Below are 21,597 nucleotides of genomic sequence, written 5' to 3' on the forward strand. Positions count from 1 at the left end.
CTGGTCTCAAACTCCTGACCTCAGGTGATCTGCCCACCCCAGCCCTCCAAAATGCTGGGATTACAGGCATGAGCCACCACACCCAGCCAATTACCTTCATTTTTAAGGCTGAATCATATTCAGTTGTTTATGTAATACATGATATGGTTTGGCTCTGTGTCCCCACCCAAATCTCATCTTGAATTGTAATCCCCACATTCAAGGGAGTGACCTGTAGTCCTCATGTCTCTACAAAAGGGAAGTGATTGGATTATAGGGGCAGTTCCCCCCATGTTGTTCTTGTGACAGCGAGTGAATTCTCATGAGGTATCATGGTTTTATAAATGGTAGTTTTCATGTGCTCTTCGTGCTCTTGCCTGCTACCATGTAAGACATGCCAGCTTCCCCTTCTGTCATAATTGTAAGTTTACTGAGGCCTCTCCAGCCATGCTGAACTTTGAGTCAATTAAACCTCTTTCTGGGCCGGGCACGGTGGCTCACACCTGTAATCCCAGCACTTCGGGAAGCTGAGATGGGCAGATCACTTGAGGTCAGGAGTTCGAGACCAGCCTGGCCAACATGGTGAAACCCCATCTCCGCTAAAAAAAAATACGAAATTAGCTGGATGTGATGTTGCACGCCTGTAGTCCCAGCTACTTGGGAAACTGAGGCAGGGGAATCGCTTGAACCTGGGAGATGGAGGTTACAGTGAGCCAAGATTGCACCACTGCATTCTAGCCTGAGCAACAGAGCAAGACTCCAACTCATATATATATGTATATAGTAAATCCATCGTGTTCTCTATAGATTTCTTGATGTTTCCAGTTTTTCTATTGCAAATTTATCCTTTATGATTATTCTTGCATATGTTTCTTTATAACATATAAGAAATTAATATGTATGCAATTCAGTATAAGATGTGTTTCTTATGGTAGGTCTCTAGGGCAGAGGTTGGCAAACTTTTTCTCTAAAGGGCCAGATAGTAAACATTTTAGACTTTGTAGGTCATACTGTCTCTGTTGCAGCAGTTCAGCTCTGCCTTTGTAGCATAAAAACAATACAGATAAGGCCGGGTGTGGTGGCTCACACCTGTAATCCCAGCACTTTGGGAGGCTGAGGCGGGTGGATCACCTGAGGTCAGGAGACCAGCCTGGCTAACATGGCGAAACCCCATCTCTACTAAAAATACAGAAATCAGCTGGGCGTGGTGGCAGGCACCTGCAATTCCAGCTACTTGGGAGGCTGAGGCAGGAATATCCTTTGAACTCAGGAGGTGGAGGTTGCAGTGAGCCAGGATTGCACAACTGCACTCCAGCCTGGGTGACAGAGCGAGACTCCATCTCAAAAATAAAATAAAATAAAAACAATATAGATAGTACATAAATGGATTATTGTGTTTCTGACAAAACTTTAGGGACTCTGAAATTTGAATTTAATGTAATTTTTCATGTGTCAGGGAATGTTCTTTTGATTGTTTTTTAAACTATTAAAACATGTGAAAATCATTCTTAGCTCTTGGGCTATACAGAAACAGAAGGGAGGTCTCTTGGATTTGACATGCAGGCATAGTTTACCTACCCCTGCTGTAGGGTATATTTGAGGAGGTGATTGCTCAGGCCTAGGCAGGTGTACATTCTCAACTTTGCTAGAAACGCAAAACTTAGTTTCTTTTGTGCAGTTGATCCTTGAACAACATGGGCTTGAACTGTACGGGTCCACTTATGCATGGATTTTGGATTTTATTTAGTAAATACAGTTGGCCCTCTGTATCAGTGGATCCTGCAACCAAGCGTGGATAGAAAATGCAGTATGTGAGGGATGTGAAACCTGCTTATACAGAGGGCTGACTTTTTTTTCATATCAGCAGTCTCATGCCAACTGTAGGCCTTGAATATGCTCGGGTTTTGGTATCTGTGGGGTAGGGGAATGTCCTGGAACCAAAGCCCCAGTAATACCAAGGAAAGACTAGTTTTATCCATTTACATTTCTGTTACTGGTTAATTAAAGTTGTGGTCACCTCACATCTGGCCAACACTTGATTTATTAGACTTTTAATCTTTGTCAGTATGGAGGATATAACATGAACTTCATTTTGTCTTTAATTTGCATTTCCTTGTTAATGAGTAGTTGAACATTTTTCACATTTATTGGGTATTTTTAATTTTTTTTGTGAAATGCCTGTTACGTTAAATCTATTACCCACTTGCTATTAGTTTTTTTCTTATTGAATTGTAGGCATTCTCTAAATGTTCTGAACAATAAACTTACCAGTTATAGATGGTGCGAATAAACTTCTCATTCATCTCTTATGTCTTCATAAAATCTTTGCATATGCAGAAGTTAATTGATTTTAATGTAGTTGAACGATAATAAATTTATCAGTCTTTTCCTTTATGGTTTATATTTTAACCCCCATTTTATTTAGGAAAAATTTCCTGGGCTGAGATCAGGAAGAGCAATTACAGTTTGCCCTCTGTATCCATGGGTTCTGCATCTGCAGATTCAACCAATCGTGGATCAAAAATATTTGGAAAAAAATATTGATGATTGCATTTGTTCTGAACATATAAAGACTTCTTTTTCTTGTCATTATTCCCTAAACAATACAATATAACAACTATTTACATAGCATTAACATTATATTCTTTTTTTTTTTAAGATGGCGTTTCACTCTTGTCACCCAAGCTGGAGTGCAGTGGCGCGATCTTTGCTCACTGCTTCCTCCGCCTCCTGGGTTCAAGCAGTTCTCCTGCCTCAGCCTCCTGAGTAGCTGGGATTATAGGCACCTGCCACCACACCCAGTTGATTTTTGTATTTTTAGTAGAGATGGGGTTTCACCACACTGGCCAGGATGGTCTCAAACTCCTGACCTCAGGTGATCCGCCTGCCTTGGCCTCCCAAAGTGCTGGGATTACAGGCATGAGCCCATAATATTAAGTTCTATAAGTAACCTAGAGATGAATTAAAGTATATGGGAAGATGTGTATAGATTATGTGCAAATACTATTCCATTTTATATAAGAGACTTGAGCATCTGTGGGTTTTGAGCATGGTTGGGAGGGGTGTCTTGGAACTAGTGCCCCATGGATATGGAGGGATGACTGTATATTATTTCCTAAAATCTTTATTGATTTTGCCTTTCACGTGTAGCTTTTGAATTACCCTACACTAATTTTTTATATGGTGTGGAGTAGGGAACTAATTTTATTTACTATTATAAGGCTAATAAATTACCTTACTCACCAGCATCTATCAAATACTACCTCCTTTCTCCAGTAAGCTGCAAAGTTTCTCTATAACTACATCTGTAGGCATTTCCCCACATTCTCAGTTAATGTTTTCTTGGACTGTTTGTTTGTTTATTCCTGTGACAGTACCAAGGTGTTCTAATGAATGAGCTGTGTAATAATTCTTAATAATCTGATGGGACACATCCCTGAAAATTTTTCTTCAGGAATGTTTTGCCTATTCTTGCCCCTGTTTACATTAGAAATATCTTGGGAAGTTTCTGACAGAACAAAATCAAATAACAAAAATTTTTTGGGAATTTTATTTAATTATCATGAATGTGTAGATCAACTGAGAGAGAAGTGGCATTGTGTCTTTCTATCCATGAACTTGGTATGTCTTTGTATTTATTTAAATCTTCAATGTCTTTGAATACAATTTTATAATTTACTCTGTAAAGTAGCAGTCCCCAACCTGTTTTGGCACCAGGGACCAGTTTTGTGGAAGATAGCTTTTCCATGGACCCAGGCGTCAGAGGGAGAGGCAGGATGGTTTTGGGATGATTCAAGCACATTACATTTATTGTGCACTTTATTTCTGTTATTATTAGATTGTGATATATAATGAAAATAATTATACAGCACATTATAATGTAGAATCAGTGGGAACCCTGGTCTTGTTTTCCTGCAACTAGATGGTCCTATCTGGGAGTGATGGGAGATAAGTGACAGATCATCAGACATTAGATTCTCATAATGGGCAGGCAACCTAGATCCCTCACATGCATAGTTCACAATAGGGTTTGCGCTCCTATGAGAATTTAATGCTGCTCTCCTATGAGAATTTAATGCTGCTGCTGATCTGACAGGAGGCACAGCTCAGGCGGTAATTCAAGCAATGGGGAGTGGCTGTAAATACAGATGAAGCTTTGCTTGCTTGTGGGATGCTGACCTCCTGCTGTGAGGCCCAGTTTCTAACAGGCCATGGACTGGTACTGGTCTGTGGCCTGGAGTTTGGGTACCCCTGCTATAAAGGATTATCATGCAAGCTCTTTATTTTATATTTTAGCATTTAAGTTTTATTTAATTGGATGTAGGGCAAGGTTGGGGTCCACTTTTATTCCTTAGATGAGTAGCCTATTGTGCCACCATAATCTTTTTATCACTGAACTGAATTAGCACCACTGAGATATATTTAAAGTTCTATGTATATTGGGATCTATTTTGGAATTTCTATTACATTCTATTAATATATTTATTTTTATATTGATGCCATATTGATTTTTATTATTTGTATATTTATTTGAAGGAGTATTTTTAAATTACTGTGTATTTATTGGCTTTGTGGTATAGACATTTATCTGCTGGGTCAAGCCACTGTCTCAGTTTTATTTTTTGTAATTTTTGCTTTCCATTAAGCCACTAAATTTTAACATGATTTTATATACTTTCCAAAAATATTTTGTTGGACTTCTAATTGAAAATGATACATGTACATATATTACTTTTGGGCAGAATCAATATTTTTATTATGTATTTGTTCTTACATACAATAAGAACAATAAGCCCAAATCTTAGCATACAGATCTTATTTTATGCCATTCACTAACATTTTATTTTCAAGTAATATTTATTGTGCTTTTTCTTGTATCAGTTGTTCTTTAGTACTTTGACAAATGTAAAAATTTTTATTTTTTATATTGAAAAACTTTTTTCATTTCTAGATTCTTATTGCAAGAATAGTCAGGGTGTTACTTAATTCCCTTATTAAATCTAGTAGGCTTTTAAAATAAATTTGAATCTGTAGTTATGCATTATAAAGCCATATCATCTAAAACTATTTTATTTCTTTTTTCCAGCTTCTTCACATTATATAATTTTAGTGTTTTGCTAAAATTTGTAGGACTTCATTAAATATTAAAGTAGTAGTGACTTTTGACTAATTCTTGATTCTAAGTAAAGTAGTTAATTTGTAGTATTTTGTCATTGGGGGCTGATTGTAGTTGGTTTCTGTCAAATAGGCTTAGGCTTTATTACATTAAAAAATATATGTTCCCATTCTACCTTGAGGAATGGCTGAATAATATTCATATTTATATATTGCTAGATTCAGTTTGCTAATATTTTCCTGACAGAGTTTGTGTTAAGATTGGAGTTATAGCTTCATTAAATTTTTATACAATTAATCACTGAAATCATCTGGACCTAGATATTTCTTGGTGTGATGGTTTAAAATTCTGAATTCACTTTCTTTAATAGATACAGCATTTAAAGAATTTTATATTTCATCTTGTGTCTGTTTTTGGTAGGTTGTATTTTTCAAGGCATTTGTTCATTTCATTTTTGTTGTTATTTTTAGACAGGGTCTCGCTCTGTTTCAGGAGTGCAGTGGCGCGACCTCAGCTCACTGCAGCCCCCACCTCTCATGCTTAAGTGAGCCTCCCACCTCACCCTCCCCCGTAGCTGGGACCACAGGCATGTGCCACCATTCCTGGCAATTTTTTTTATTTTTATTTTTTGTAGAGAGAAGGTCTTTCTCTGTTGCCTAGGCTGGTCTCGAACTCCTGGGTTCAAGCAATCCTCCTGCCTTGGCCTCCCAAAGTTCTGGGATTACACTGCTCTTGGCCTCCATTTCATTTAAGTCGTCCCTGTCTTTTGAACTGTAAGCGTTTTGTGGGGGATGGAAAGTAGCATCTCAATGCATTTCCCTGGTAACCAATGGTGTTGAGCATTTTTCAGAGTACTTATTGGCCTTTCCTAAATGTTGTTTTGTGAAGTGTATGTTTGAATTTTTGTCCATCTTAAAATTTGTTTGTCTTCTTTTTATGAAGTTGTAAGGATCCTTTTTGTTGTTGTTGTTGTTGTTGAGACAGGGTCTCAGTCAGTTGCCCAGGATGGAGTGCAGTGGTGTGATCATGGCTCACTGCAACCTCAATTTTCTGGGCTCAGGTGATCCTCCCACCTCAGCCTCCTAAGTAGCTGGGACCATAGGCACATGCCACCACGCCCAGCTACTTTTTTTTTCTTTTTGTACTTTTTTGTAGAGATGGGGTTTCACCATGTTGCCCAGGCTGGTAGCGAACTCCAGGCCTCAAGCGACCTGCCCGCCTCAGCCTCCCAAATTACTGGGACTACAGGCAAGAGAATCCTGAGCCTGGCCCAGGATTCTTCATGTATACTAGTTTGGATACAAGTCTCAATAGATAGACTGATAGAAACAGATGGGGCTATCTCTGTGTCTGTCTCCATCAGTCTACATCTGTATTTCTCTCTCCGTATCCATCCATCCATCCATCTATGCATTCATCTGTTCTTTGGATTGCCTTTTGTTGTATTGTTGGTGTTCTTTGAAAAGCACAAATTTTTAATATTGATGAAGCCCAATTTTATTATTATATTTTTATGGTCTATGCTGTGTTCTAAGAAATCTATCATAAGATCATGAAAATTTGTACTTGCTTTTTTTCTAGAAACCTTATAGTTTAGGCTTAGCTTTTATGCTTAAGTTGATGATCCATTTCAAGTTTCTGTATGTAGTGTAAAATAAATCTTTTTGTATATGGATGTCCAGTTGTATCAGTAACATTTATTGAAGATTTTTTTTTTGGATTGATTTACCTTGGCACTTTTGTGGGAAGTCATTTGACCAATGTTTTTGAGTCTATTTTTGGACTTTTCTATTCCACAAATCCGTATGTTTATCCTTAGGCCAATATCACACTGTCTTGGTTAATTTAGCTTTATATTAAATCAGAAGTTTGGCTGGGCACAGTGGCTGACACCTGTAATCCCAGCACTTTGGGAGGCCAAGGCGGGCGGATTGCCTGAGGTCAGGAGTTCGAGACCAGCCTGGCCAACATGGTGAAACCCCATCTCTACTAAAAATACAAAAATTAGCTTTGCGCAGTGACGGGCACCTGTAATCCCAGCTACTCGGGAGGCTGAGGCAGACAATTGCTTGCACCCGGGAGGCGGAGGTTGCAGTGAGCTGAGATCACGCCACTGCACTCCAGCCTGGGCGACAGAGCGAGACTCTGTCTCAAAAAAAAAAAACAGAAAAATTGTTTTGGCTTTTCATGTCTCTTGTAGTTACACATACATTTTAGAGTCAATGTGTAAATTTCTAGAATAATCCACAGAGACTTTGGAGTTACATTAAATCTCTAGATTAATTTGGGGGAAAATTAACACCTTAAGTATATATAGTCTTTTCATAAGCATGGAATATTTCTTTTTTCCTTTTTTTTTTTTGAGACATTCTTGCTCTGTTGCCCAGGCTGGAGTGCAGTGGCGCTATCTGGGCTCACTGCAACCTCTACCTCCTGGGTTCAAGCGATTCTCGTGCCTCAGCCTCCTGAGTAGCTGGAATTACAGGCGTGTGCCACCATGCCTGACTGATTTTTATATTTTTAGTAGAGATGGGGTTTCTCCATGTTGGCCAGGCTGATCTTGAACTCCTGGCCTCAAGTGATCCACCTGCCTCGACCTCCCTAAGTGCTGGGATTACAGGTGTAAGCCCCTGTGCCCAGCCGCTAGGATGTTTATTACAGTATTGAGTAGAAGTGGTGAGAGGAGAGATTTTTAACTGTTTTTTTCAACTTAGGGGGAAAGTATTCAGTCTTAAACTGTTAAGTAGGTCATGAGATGTTGATTTTTTTTTTTATAGATGCCCTCTCTCAGATCAAAGACCTTCTTTTCTCTTTTTAGTTTACTGAAAGATATTTTCATGAATGAGTATTAAATTTTGTCAGTTGCTTTTTCTCTACTTAGATGATCATGTTATTTTTTCCTTTAATGTGTTAATATGAAGATGAATTTTTAAATATTAAACTCACTTTGCATTTATGGGATAAATCTTACTTATGATATATTATTTGTTTTATATGTTTCTATATTCAATTTGCCAATATTTTAAGTATTTATGCTAATATTTTAAGCAGCTATGTTTGTGAAAGATACTGGCATGTATTTTTCATGTAATGTGTTTTCCTGGTTTTGGTCCCAGGGCAATATTGGCCATATAAAATTAGGAAATATTCCTTTCTCATATTTGCTTAAAGAGTTCATATAAGATGGGTTATTATTTCCTAAGTGTTTTATTTACTCAATTCACTAGTGGAGACATCCGGGCCTGGGGCCATTCAGATTTTCTATTTCTTCCATGTCAGTTTTGGTAATTTTCACCTTTTGAGCCATTTCTCTATCTGCACAGTCAGAGTCTGCATCATCATGGAAATGTTCTTGTACACAGTTAAAGTATGGTAGCCACTGGCACCTGTGACTGTTGAGCACTTGAAATGTGATGGGTGCAGAACTGAAGTTTTAGTTTGACTAAATTTATTGCTTCTGGGCCTCTTGGCTAAGATCAAGTGTAATTTAATTAGAATTAAGTTTAAATAGTCAAGTGTCACGTGGCTACTGTATTGCATATCACAAAGCTAAACTGTCATTTATTTTTGTAAAGTTGTTAATCATTCTTATGTATTGCCATCAAGTTAATAATATTTTAAACTGTATGGACCTCCAGTTGTTTATAATATTTTCTTAGTTTATTTTTAATTTCTATGAAATCTGTAGTCCCTTATTTCATTCCTGATATTGGTAATGTGTATCCTCCACCACTCCCCGTATTACTTTTTTTTTTTTAAAGACAGGTTTTTACTCCTGTTGCCCAGGCTCTAGAGGGCAGTGGTGCGATCTCGACTCACTGCCATCTCCGTCTCCCGGGCTCAAGCAATTCTCCGGCCTCAGCTTCCTGAGGATTACTGGTGCATGCCACTTCACCGGCTAATTTTTGTATGTTTTGTAGAGATGGGGTTTCACCATGCTGCCCAGGCTGGCCTTGAATTCCTGGGCTCAATCAGTCCGCCTGCCTTGGCCTCCCAAAGTGCTGGGATTACAACCGTGAGCCACTGTACCCAGCCTCCCACATTACTTCTTAAAAAACATCTTTAAAAACTTTAATTGTAGTAAAATATACGTAAAATGAAATTTACCGTCTTCACCATTTTTAAGTGTACAGTTCAGTAGCATTAACTGTTTACATTGTTGTGCAATCAGTCTGTAGAATGCTTTTCATTTTGCGAAACTGAAACTGTACACCCAATTTCCCAACTCGAAATTTCTCTCTTCTTTCAGCCTGTGGCAATCACCCTTCTACTTTGTCTTTATGAATTCAGTTATTCTGTATGTTATGTAAGTGGAATCATGCAGTGTTTATCTTTATTTGGACTGATTTTACTTAGCATAATGTCTGCAAAGTTCATCCATTTTGTAGTATGTGTCAGAATTCCTTTCTTTTTAAGGCTGAATACTATTCCATTGTATGTATATACCACATTTTATCTGTTTATCTATAGTTGGACACTTGGGTTTCTTCTACCTTTTAGCTATTGTGGATGAGGCTGCTATGCAGGAGGGTTATTTTGGAACCAGTACTGCACCATGGTGGCTGGAAGTGGAATGTTTTATGATCAATATTTTAACTAGTGCCTAACTTACAATTTCTGTATGATTTTGAACTTAACTCAGAAATAGTTCTATAGAGGTGAGACGTTGTGGCTCACACCTGTAATCCCAGCACTTTGGGAGGCTGAGGCAGGTAGATCACCTGAGGTCAGGAGTTCGAGACCAGCTTGGCCAATGTGGTGAAACCCTGCCTGTACTACAAACACAAAAATTAGCTGGGAGTGATGGCGTACGCCTGTAATCCCAGCTACTGAGGGAGCTGAGGCAGGAGAATCACTTGAACCTAGGAGGTGGAGGTTGTAGTGAGCCAAGATCATGCCACTGTACTCCAGCCTGGGTCACAAAGTGAGACTCCATCTCAAAAAAAAAAAAAAAAAAAAGAAAAAAAAAAGAGAAAGAAATAGTTCTATAGATAATTTCCCTAAGTAGCTTTCTAAGCCTATTTAACTCAGTATTATTTCTCTACCATAATGCCAGTTGTACTGTGTGAACTACACATAGCAACATTTCTATAGATGTAGTGTTAGCAAACCTTTTTCCTAAAGGGCCAAATAGTAAATATTTAAGCTTTCTTGGCTGTGGTCAACAAATATGACTTTTTGCATTCTCCTTATTCTTCTTTTTACAACCTTTTAAAAATGTAAAATCATTCTTAGCTTAGAGCCATCCAGAAATAGGCCCTGGATAAAATTGTTTAATTAGGACTTCTTCTATATATATGTATTTATTTTGAGATGGAGTTTTGGCTCTTGTCACCCAGGCTGGAGTGCAATGGCACTGTCTTGGCTCACTGCATCCTCTACCTCCCGGGTTCAAGCAGTTCTCCTGCCTCAGCCTCCTGAGTAGCTGGGATTACAGGCGCACGCCACCACACCTGGCTAATTACTTGTATTTTTAGTAGAGACAGGGTTTCACCATGTTGGCCAAGCTGGTCTCGAACTCCTGACCTCAGGTGATCCACCGGCCTCGGCCTCCCAAAGTGCTGGGATTACAGGCGTGAGCCACCGCACCCAGCCTTCTATTTTTATTTTCAAAAAAATCTCCATTGACCATTTTTGCAGATAGTATGAGCTCTAGTAGAAGTGGTTTATTCTGTTAATGAACTTATGAGAGTAAAAAAATGAAGTTGTTATAAATTTACTGATGCCATTGAGGGAAAAAAAGTACAAGTTACTCTGTCTCTACAGTTATAAAGCCCTTAATAAAGGATTATTTTAACATTGCTTTCTTTTTTTTTTCCTGGATTATAAGGGGTAGCGTTAAAAATTAGGTTTAGGGCTTGAACAGATTCTTGTTTATCTGAATAGAAAGGGATATCAGCTAAATCTGCTGTGACAAGTGAAGAGAGAAGATGAAAATACAGATTTTTGTTTTATAAGTAACAGAACTATGTTACAGAAATTTTGGAATTAGAAGGAAGAATAGTAGGAATGCTTATGGGCCTAAAGATTGGGGTATAGTTGGGTCATTGGTACCGTCTCCCCATATCTCTGTGGTATTGTGCTTCTGCAATTATTGGCAAAAATGACTTTTGTATTTATTATTTTGCTTATTATGTTATTCTGCTTACAAAAGTAATATGCTCTTTGAAATACTGACATGTAATAAGATATGAAAATTTTACTCAGTAAGATGATAGTTTATTACAGTGATGTGCTTCAGTTTTAATAGACTTTTGACAGTTTTTAGGTAATTGCTGAATGTTTTATCAGTTTATATAGATACCTCTAATCTTCTTGATCATTGTTGCCAGAACACTAGAAATAACAGGGATCATTCTAAAAAGTAAAGTCTGTTGTACTTGTTCTCATATTGAAAAACAACAATTTGTTTTATAAAATGGTTTATACTGTACTTCAAAGTCATAATTTTTAAAGCCTTAGTGCGTAAGTTGACTATTAAAATTGGTAAAAATCAAACTCATTTCTATCAGAAATGTATCAAGTGTAAATATTTATCACCTTTTGGTAAGCTATAAAATCAGATTGATCTAAATATTCCACTGGTTTCAAACTTTAAAAAAATTTTTGAAACACTGTTAGAAATATATTTTACATTGAGACATATACATGTGTATTTCTGTGTGTACACAAACATTTCTTGTAGCATTACTTATTGTCATTCTATATGATACACTTCGCTTTCTGTTCTAGCCCATTAAAAAAATACTGGTTCCTTAATGTGCCCATCCCTGCAACTTGAAAGAAGACTAAATTATTACATTGTAGTTATTATCTCGTTCTCATGCAGAGTTTTCTTTTGGCTATTGCCATATTAATAACTATGATTCTTTTTCAGTTTAGGATCATACATAAGAATTAACCATTTTTCTATTGTAAATGTGCTCTGATAAGAATCACGGTCTGTCACTAAAGGAGAAAACTAGAGTGGCTGTTGAGGAGCATCTAGTAGTTTCAGACACAGCCACACAGTTCAGCATGCTTACCAAGATTTATTGTGTTTGTTCCCAAACTTTATTAATACTTGCCATTGTAATTATATAAGTTAACATGTACATTTTTTTACACTAGTGAAATGTTACTTTGAAAAGTAAACTGTTGTTTCTGTGAAAATTTGAGTGCTTTAGAAAAACTAAGCAAGTCAGTAAAAACATGGATGTGCAAGTGTCTTTACTTTCTCCCTCCATTTTAAAGAAACTCAGATTGCAATCATGAAGATGGCCTATATGGTTGTGATTTATTTATTTTTATTTCATTTTTTTTGAGATGGAGTCTCCCTCTGTCACCCGGGCTGGAGTTCAGTGGTGTGATCTTAGCTCACTGCAACCTCCACCTCCTGGGTTCAAGCGATTCTCGTGCCTCAGCTTCCTGAGTGGCTGGGATTACAGGCATGCACCTGGCAAATTTTTGTATTTTTAGTAGAGACGGGGTTTTGCCCTGTTGGCCAGGCTCATCTCGAACTCCTGACCTCAAGTGATCTGCCTGCTTCAGCCTCCCTAAGTGCTGGGATTACAGGCGTGAGCTATGGTGTCCGGCCTGTGGTTTAGTTAAGAAAGACATATTAGTATAGCCATTATCAAAATCTTGGCTGATATTAAATGATTGGTAAATGTGCTTTTGTATGTCTCAAGTAAAAATAAATGTTTAAGGCAATTGTGTTTCATTTTTAATGATTTTTGGCTTTGACTGTTGAATTACATTGTGATCTTATAAAGGGGTTTTTATTATTTAGGAAATTATATTTTATTGAATAGCAGATAGTCAGATCATCCCTTAGAAATGTTTATGTGACAGCGGCCGAGCGCGGTGGCTCATGCCTGTAATCCTAGCACTTTGGGAGGCTGAGGCAGGTGGGTCACTTAAGGTCAGGAGTTCGAAACCAGCCTGGCCAACATGGTGAAACCTCGTCTCTACTAAAAATACAAAAAAACCAGCCAGGCGTGGTGGTGGGCACCTGTAATCCCAGCTGCTTGGGAGGCTGAGGCAGGAGAATTGCTTGAACCCGGGCAGTGGAAGTTGCAGTGAGCTGAGATCATACCACTGCACTCCAGCCTGGGAGACAGAGCCAGACTCTGTCTTTAAAAAAAAAAAAAAAAAAGTTTCTGTGACTAAACAAAGTGCTAACTTAAGCTTTTATTTAAAGCAAATCACAATCACCTTGTTTTTGTTTTTCATTTTTTAATTTATATAATTTAATTTTTGTTTTTCATTTTTTATATATATATATTTTAAAGACAGAGTCTCTCTCTGTCACCCAGGCTGGGTTCAGTGGCGCAGTCATAACTCACTGCAGCCTTCAACTCCTAGGCTCAAGTGATCCTCCTGCCTCAGCCTCTTGAGTAGCTGGGACTACAGGTGTGTGCCACCATGCCTGGCTTGTTTTTTAATTTTATTTGTAGAGACGAGGTCTTGCTGTGTTGCCCAAGCTGATCTGAAACTCCTGGGCTCAAGTGATCTTCCTGACTCCATCTTGAAAAAAAAAAAAAAAAAAAGTAGCAATCTCAGGGAATTGTTAGAGAACCATGATTTCTAAAGTTGAAATTACTTTTTTTTTTTGAGACAGAGTCTTGCTCTGTTGCCCAGGCTGGAGTGCAATGGCACAATCTTGGCTCACTGCAACCTCTACCTCCCAGGTTCAAGTGATTCTCCTACCTCAGCCTCCCTAGTAGCTGGGATTAAAGGCATGTGCCACCACGCCCAGCTAATTTTTCTATTTTTAGTAAGTGGGGTTTTGCCATGTTGGCTAGGCTGGTCTCGAACTCCTGACCTCAGGTAATCCGCCCACCCCACCCTCCCAAGATGCTGGGATTACAGGCGTGAGCCACCACACCCGGCTGAAATTACTATTAATACTAGTTTATTTCTGAAAATTATGCTTTGATTAAAAACAAAAATGTGCCCTTCCCACTCCCAGCACTGCTGGGCCTGCAGGTCTCTGTCCAGCTGCAGACAAAGATCTCTCTTCTGCAGGATGGGGTTTGTTAAAGTTGTTAAGAATAAGGCCTGCTTTAAGAGATACCAAGTGAAATTTAGAAGATGACGAGAGGGTAAAACTGATTACTATGCTTGGAAACGCTTAGTGATACAGGATAAAAATAAATACAAAACACACAAATACAGGATGATAATTTGTGTAACAGAGATATCATTTGTCAGATTGCTTATGCCCTTATAGAGGGGGATATGATAGTCTGTGCGGCATATGCATATGAACTGCCAAAATATGGTTTGAAGGTTGGCCTGACAAATTATGCTGCAGCGCATTGTACTGGCCTGCTGCTGGCCCGCAGCCTTCTCAATAGGTTTGGCATGGACAAGATCTGTGAATGCCAAGTGGAGGTGACTGGTGGTAAATACAATGTGGAAGGCAATCTTGGTCAGCCACGTGCCTTTACCTGCTATTTGGATGCAGACCTTGCCAGAACTACCACTGGCAATAAAGTTTTGGGTACCCTGAAGGGCGCTGTGGATGGAGGCTTGTCTGTCCCTCACAGTACCAAACGATTCCCTGGTTATGATTCTGAAAGCAAGGAATTTAATGCAGAAGTACACCGGAAGCACATCATGGGCCAGAAAGTTGCAGATTACATGCACTACTTAATGAAAGAAGATGAAGATGCTTACAAGAAACAGTTCTCTCAATACATAAAGAACAGCGTAACTCCAGACATGATGGAGGAGATGTATAAGAAAGCTCATGCTGCTATACGAGAGAATCCAGTCTATGAAAAGAAGCCCAAGAAACAAAAAAGAAGAGGTGGAACCATCCCAAAATATCCCTTGCTCAGAAGAAAGATCAGGTAACTCAAAAGAAGGCAAACTCCCTCAGAGCTCAGGAGCAGGCTGCTGAGAGCTAAACCAAACAATTTTCTATGAGGATTTTTCAGATAAAGACAATAAACTGATGGATAGCAACAACAACAACAAAAAACAGAAATCAAAAAAACAAAAAACAAAAATGTGCAGGAGGAATATGTTAGAATATTTCACAATATTTATTTATATGATAGTTGAATTCCTTAGTTGGTGGTTATACCTTGAAATGATTCTTGGATATAGCATAGAATTATCAGTATACTGCTAAAGCAATGACTAAGAGGGACAAAGAATGGCGGTTGACTTTACCTCGAAGTATGAAATTTGCTTTCATTATAAAACAAATATTGTTCTTAAATTACTTAAAATAACTTTATTCTCCTTGTGCAAAATCTAAGTCTATTTGCATTTTACTGATCACAGTCTCTATTACACAAAGATTTTCCTCCTGAACTCACTGCTCTTTATTAGAGCTTTCTTGTAAGCATACTACAAAGCTGTAATATTCTCAATCTTAAAAAAAATTCTTATAAAAAACCACAAGTAAATAGGCTGGGTACAGTGACTTGCACCTATAATTCCAGCATTTTGGGAGGCTGAGGTGGGAGGATCGCTTGAGTCCAGGAGTTCAAGACCAGACTGGGCAACAGAGCAAGACCTTGTCTCTACTAATAATTTAAAAATTAGCGCGCACGCGCGCGCGCACACACACACACACACACACACACACACACACACACACAGCCAAAGTCCAAAAAACAAAAACCAGACTGGGCAACAGAGCAAGACCTTGTCTCTACTAATAATTTAAAAATTAGCGCACACACACACACACACACACACACACACACACACACAGCCAAAGTCCTAAAAACAAAAACCTCTATTAAGGGCCTCTGAATAGTTATCTCTGTTCCTTCAGTTCCTCTGAAGAATTATTTTATACTAGGATTCTCAGGTTATCTCCTCTCAATCTCTATTGGGATCACTCCACTCTGACTTGTACACTCATTTTCCCACTGATGTAGCTGTTCTCAAGTTAGAAGTTAAGTTCTCAGTCTTCATTTTATCAGTCATCTCAGCAGCATTCATTATGGTTCAGGCACTCCCTCCTATTTTCTTCGTTAGCTTCTATGACACCAGTCTCCTCATTTTTCTCCTACTCTATTAGCTGTTCCTTCTTAGTGTCTTTTTCTGACTCCTTCATTTTGACCAGATTTCTAAATACTGAAGTATGTCAGGACTCTCAGCTGTCTTCCATCTGTAGTAAATAAACTCACTGGGTGATCTTACCTAGTTTCATGAATTTTAAGTACCATCTCTTCATTGATGAGTCCCAAATTTATGTCTCATTTCTTGGCCAGTCTTCTCTTAACTACAGGCTAATATATCCAACTGTCTTCTTGATATTTCCATTTGAAGATTTAAGAAGGATTTCAAAATCTACCATCCCAAAACCAAATTATTCATTCTCCCTCTTTCAGTGTGGTCCTCCCTTAGTGTTCCTATCTCAGGAAATGACACCCTGTTGTGTTATTCTTGACTCCTTTCATACCCCGCATCTCATATACGTATCAGGCAATGCCTCTACCTTCAAAATATATCCACATCTGACTACTGTTCTTCACATCCACCATTATTATTACCTTGGGTTTAACTACCAGTTTTTCCTTGGGTTATTGTAGCTTCCTAAGTGGTCCTAAGTGATCTTCCTGCTTCCATTCTTCTTCTGCTCCGTATAACATTGAACACTTCATAGTACACAGAAGCTATATGTAGAATGTATGATCCTTGTAAAACATAAATTATGTTAATTTGTCTGTAGAGTCTTCTAACGACTTCCTTTTACACTTACATACATTGCAGTTTTTTCCTGTTGCTTGCAATTTCCTAATAGATCCATTCTGTTTATTTCTCTTTTCTCATTTTTTAATCACTCTTCCTCTCATACATGCAATTCCAGCCATACCATCCTTGCTTTTCCTCACATACGCCAAGCATACTCACAGTGTCTAAAAGCCAGAAATCTTCCATGAGAAATTTGTGCTTTCAGGTGTTTCAGCTGCTGAGATCGTAGTGTTCTGTTTTGTTCTCTTGATATAAGCTCTGAGAAACAGAAACTGTTTCTTTTATTTGGTTATATGGATCACAAGGATGAGAAGAATTCTGATTCAGTTAAGTAATGTAACTAGTACTTACATTTTAATTGCATAAGATTTTATGCAGCCTACAGATTTATTGTGTAAGTACCAAAATTGCTAATTCACATCAGTTGCTTTGTTAGAAATTGACATCTCTGAGGCCAGGTGCAGTGGCTCATGCAGTCCCAGAACTTTGGGAGGCCAAGACAGGAAGAGTGCTTGAGCCCAGGAGTTTGAGACCAGCCTGGGCAATGTGGTGAAACTCCCATCTCCACAAAAAATTAAAAAAAAATTAGCTGGATGTGGTGACATACATCTGTGGTCTCAGCTATTTGGGAGGCTGAGATGGGAGGATCACCTGAGCCCAGGAGGCTGAGACTGCAATGAGCCGTGGTCATGCCACTGCACTCCAGCCTGGGTGACAGCAAGATTCTGTCTCAAAAAAAGAAAGAAAGAAAAAAAAGAAATTGACATCTCTGAGAAAACTGTAAATCTCCAGTGCATTTCAAAGATTTAAAAATTTTTTTTCACTTAACAGATCTTGGGAATTCATAAAGCTGCCTCATTCTCTTTAACAGCTATATAATATTCCATTAGAGGTATGTACTATAATTAAGTTAGCCTCACTGATGAACACATACGCTGTTTTCAGTCTTTTTCTGCTATAAATATTCTTTTTCATCACTCTCTTGTGAGATTATATCTGCAGGATGAATTTGTAAAAGTTGAATTGTTGGGCTGGGCGTGGTGTCAAACGCCTGTAATCCCAGCACTTTGGGAGGCCAAGGCGGGTGGATCACCTGAGGTCAGGAGTTTTGAGACCAGCCTGGCCAACATGGTGAAACCTTGTCTCTACTAAAAATACAAAAATTAGCCGGGTGTGGTGGCAGGTGCCTGTAATCCCAGCTACTCAGGAGGCTGAGGCAGGAGAATCGCTTGAACCTGGGAGGCAGAGGTTGCAGTGAGCCAGGATGGCACCACTGCATTCGAGCCTGGGCGACAGAGTGAAACTTTGTCTTTAAAAAAAAAAAAAAAAAAAAAAAAAAAAAGTTGAATTGTTGGGTCAAGAGTTCTGTGTATTCAAAGTATCAAAAACATTGCCTAATTGCTCTTTATTAGTTTTGTACCAGTTTGCATTCCTACCAGCAGTATTTGACTGCAGGGGTTGGCAAATGTTTTTCTGTTAAGGGCCAGATGGTAAATATTTTGGACTTTGCAGCCTACATATGGTCTCTTTCAAAAACTTTTCTTTGTATATATTTTAGTCTTGGGCCATAGTTTCCTAATTTTGGCCTATAATATAGCTGCAAGACTTTATTTTTTATTTTTATTTATTTTTTATTTTTGAGACAGAGTCTAACTGTCGCCCAGGCTGGAGTGCAGTGGCGCAATCTCGGCTCACTGCAAGCTTCGCCTTCCAGGTTCACGCCATTCTCCTGCGTCAGCCTCCCGAGTAGCTGGGACTACAGGTGCCCGTCACCACGCCTGGCTTCTTTTTTTTTTTTTTTTTTTTTTTTTTTAAGTAGAGACAGGGTTTCACTGTGTTAGCCAGGATGGTCTCAATCTCCTGACCTCATGATCCGCCCACCTTGGCCTCCCAAAGTGCTGGGATTACAGGCGTGAGCCACCGCACCCAGCCATCTGCAAGACTTTTATCAAAACTTTTTGTCATTACCAACCTGCTGTGTGAACGTGATATCTCGTTTTATTAGTTTGCATTTCTCTTGTTGAACCTTAGTATTTTGCTCTCTCTGAAATATTTGTTTGAGCCCTTTGCTTTTATATGTGTATTTGGTTATTTGTCTGTATCTTTACTGAACTATAGGTCCTATCTTTATCTTTTAAGGAAATTACCCTTTGTGATATGAAATAAAACCTTTTAAATCAGTTTATCTTTTTATCTTTTTGATTTGGTTTGTGTTTTCTCATCTCTAGCCATTTTTAAAGTCACATTTGATCTTTTATATTTTTATTTATAACTTGATCTTTTATTCTGGATTTTTTTGGTCATTATTAGAAAGGCTTGTCTCTGCGACTCAAAAATAATTCTTCCATAGTTTCTTTAATATTACTAAAATAATTCTTCCGTAGTTTATTTAATATTACTGTTTTATTTCTTTATGCCTAAAACTTAGATACATCTGTAAAATTTTTTGATGTGAGTTAGGGATCTCATTTTTCCATATGACTACCCTTTTCTTCAAATACTATATCCTGAATTTAAATGTAATGATAAGGGGCTGGGTGCAGTGGCTCATGTCTGTAATCCCAGCAGTTTGGCAGGCTGAGGTGGGCGGATTGCTTGAGCTCAGGAGTTCAAGACCAAACTGGGTCTCTACAAAAAATACAAAGATTAGCCAGATGTGGCGGCATGCGCCTGTTATCTCAGCCACTTGAGAGGCTGAGGTAGGAGGATTGCTTGAGTCCTGGAGGCGGAGGTTGTAATAAGCTGAGATCATGCCACTGCACGCCAGCCTGGGTGACAGAGCCAGATCCTGTCTCAAAAAATGAACCAACTAACTAAATAAATAAGTAAATGTAGTGATATGGAAAGTTGCTTACAATATTACTTCTTAGTATTGACTTCTCATGCACTATAGAACTCATTGTTCTGACTACATAAAACACCTAATTTTTCATTTATGAAAAATTACAGAGCACATGCTATGTGGTCAGCTACTAATGATGAAACGTTGAGATGGCTCACCTGTAAGTTCTTCAGCATACATCTCCTAAGATTTTAGCATCTGTTTTACTATCTGTTGTCTCAATTGATTATTTTAGAAAGTATAGACAATTTTTCCAATTATATTATTGCCTCTACGTTTATTAGCAAACGTTCTTATGATAGAAACAAGCTTTTATCTCCTTCCCTTTGACATTATGGACTCAAATCATTATTTACCCTCATACTGTTTCTAATTTTCTGTTTATTTTTTCTAGCTCTGTGAGGAGGAAGAGTCATAGCTATCTCTTTCATCATTTTATCCCTAGAACCTAGTGCAATACCTACCACAGAGTGGTTTCCTAATAAATATGTACTGAATGAATGAATACTTCAAGCAGTGGGGAGCTATTGAAGAATCTCAAGGGAGGATGTAATGTGAAATGATTTATATTTTGGAAAGGTAATTCTGATGTCATTATGGAAGAGAGCAACTTGAGCAAAGCTCAGAAAAAAAAAAGAAAGAAACAGGGGGTTGCCCTGTCACATCACCCAGGCTGGAGTGCAGTGGCACAATTATAGCTTGCTGCAGCCTCAAACTCTTGGGTTCAAGTGATCCTCCTTCCTCAGCCTCCTGAGTAGCTAGGACTGCATGTGTGTACCACTACACCTGGCTGATTAAAACAAAATTTTTTTTTGTAGAGATGGGCTTTTGCTATGTTGCCCAGGCTGGTCTTGAACTCCTGGCCTCAAACAATCCTCTGGCCTCAGCCTCCCAAAGTGCTAAGATTATAGGTGTGAGCCACTGTGCCTGGTCCAGGAAAGCTTTCCTTTGGGTTCTGTATCAGTTGGGACCTGATTACAGATAATCCAACTCAAATCAACTTAACAAAAGGAATTTATTGGATTCCATAATCCAGAGAAGGGTTGAAGAACCAGCCACATGAAGGATGTAACTGGGCTTCAGGAACAAATAAGAGCAAGGATGCCAGTGCCACTAATATTTTTAGTCTTCGCCTCACTCTATTTTTATCAGTTCCAGTTTGTTTGCTGATGTATCAATTAAATGTGGTTTAGGCATAGAGTTTATAAGGGTATGGTTGCTTCCTGAGTATCCATGTGGACTGAATTAGTATACCTTTGAAGGTATTGTAGAATCCAGGAGGAGACGTGGAGTATTAGAACTAGGTGCTAAGTGGAAAAGATGGATTTGAGAGAGATAAGTAATAAAGTTGACAGAATTTGTCCAGGGGGAAATCTTGAGCAACTGCTGGTTTGGTGAATCTGTTAACCATCTGAGGGAAATATAAGAAGCATATGCTTGGAATGGGAGGGAACATGATGAGTTTTGATTTTAGAGATGCTAAGTTGGAGAACGTGTAGGAGCTAGTTGAATATAGACATCCGAAATCTTATAAGAAAGGTCTAAGCTTAAGTGCTTAGGAAGTCAGTAGCAAAGGTAAGTGTTATGGAGGTGAACAAAATAGCTCAGTCTGAGTGTAAAAGTAAAGAGAACAGGAATCTTGCAGAAAAGCTAACATTGAAGCCATGTGAACAGAAGAAGAGTATAAAATAAATTATAAGGCAATTAAGGAAAGTAAGAAATAAGAGTACCAAAGAATCCAAAGGAATTTTATCCATGAGGGATATGCCATTTAGGAATTGAAAAAAGTCAATTTGCTTTGACCATTAGGAGATCATTGATGATGTTAATGAGAAAAGTTCCAGTGGAAAGTTGGGAGCTGATTGTATTAAGCTCAAAGGGTTAATGATAGAGATGAAGTAGAAGCAAACTAGGTAGAATTTTTTTCCTACAAGTTTGTGAAGGGAAGATGAATGAG

At 38.4% G+C, this 21,597-nt stretch overlaps 1 protein-coding gene and 1 pseudogene across 18 annotated transcripts in view; both read left to right on the forward strand.

The window, feature by feature from the left end:
* The window catches only part of ZMYM4 (zinc finger MYM-type containing 4), a 153,350-nt gene that overhangs the window by 67,908 nt on the left and 63,845 nt on the right, over nt 1–21,597 (forward strand). The window lies entirely within an intron of this gene.
* On the forward strand, nt 14,036–15,050 carry RPL5P4 (ribosomal protein L5 pseudogene 4; annotated as a pseudogene).

This window comes from Homo sapiens, chromosome 1, assembly GCF_000001405.40.
Source record: "Homo sapiens chromosome 1, GRCh38.p14 Primary Assembly".
Taxonomy (NCBI): Eukaryota; Metazoa; Chordata; class Mammalia; order Primates; family Hominidae; genus Homo; species Homo sapiens.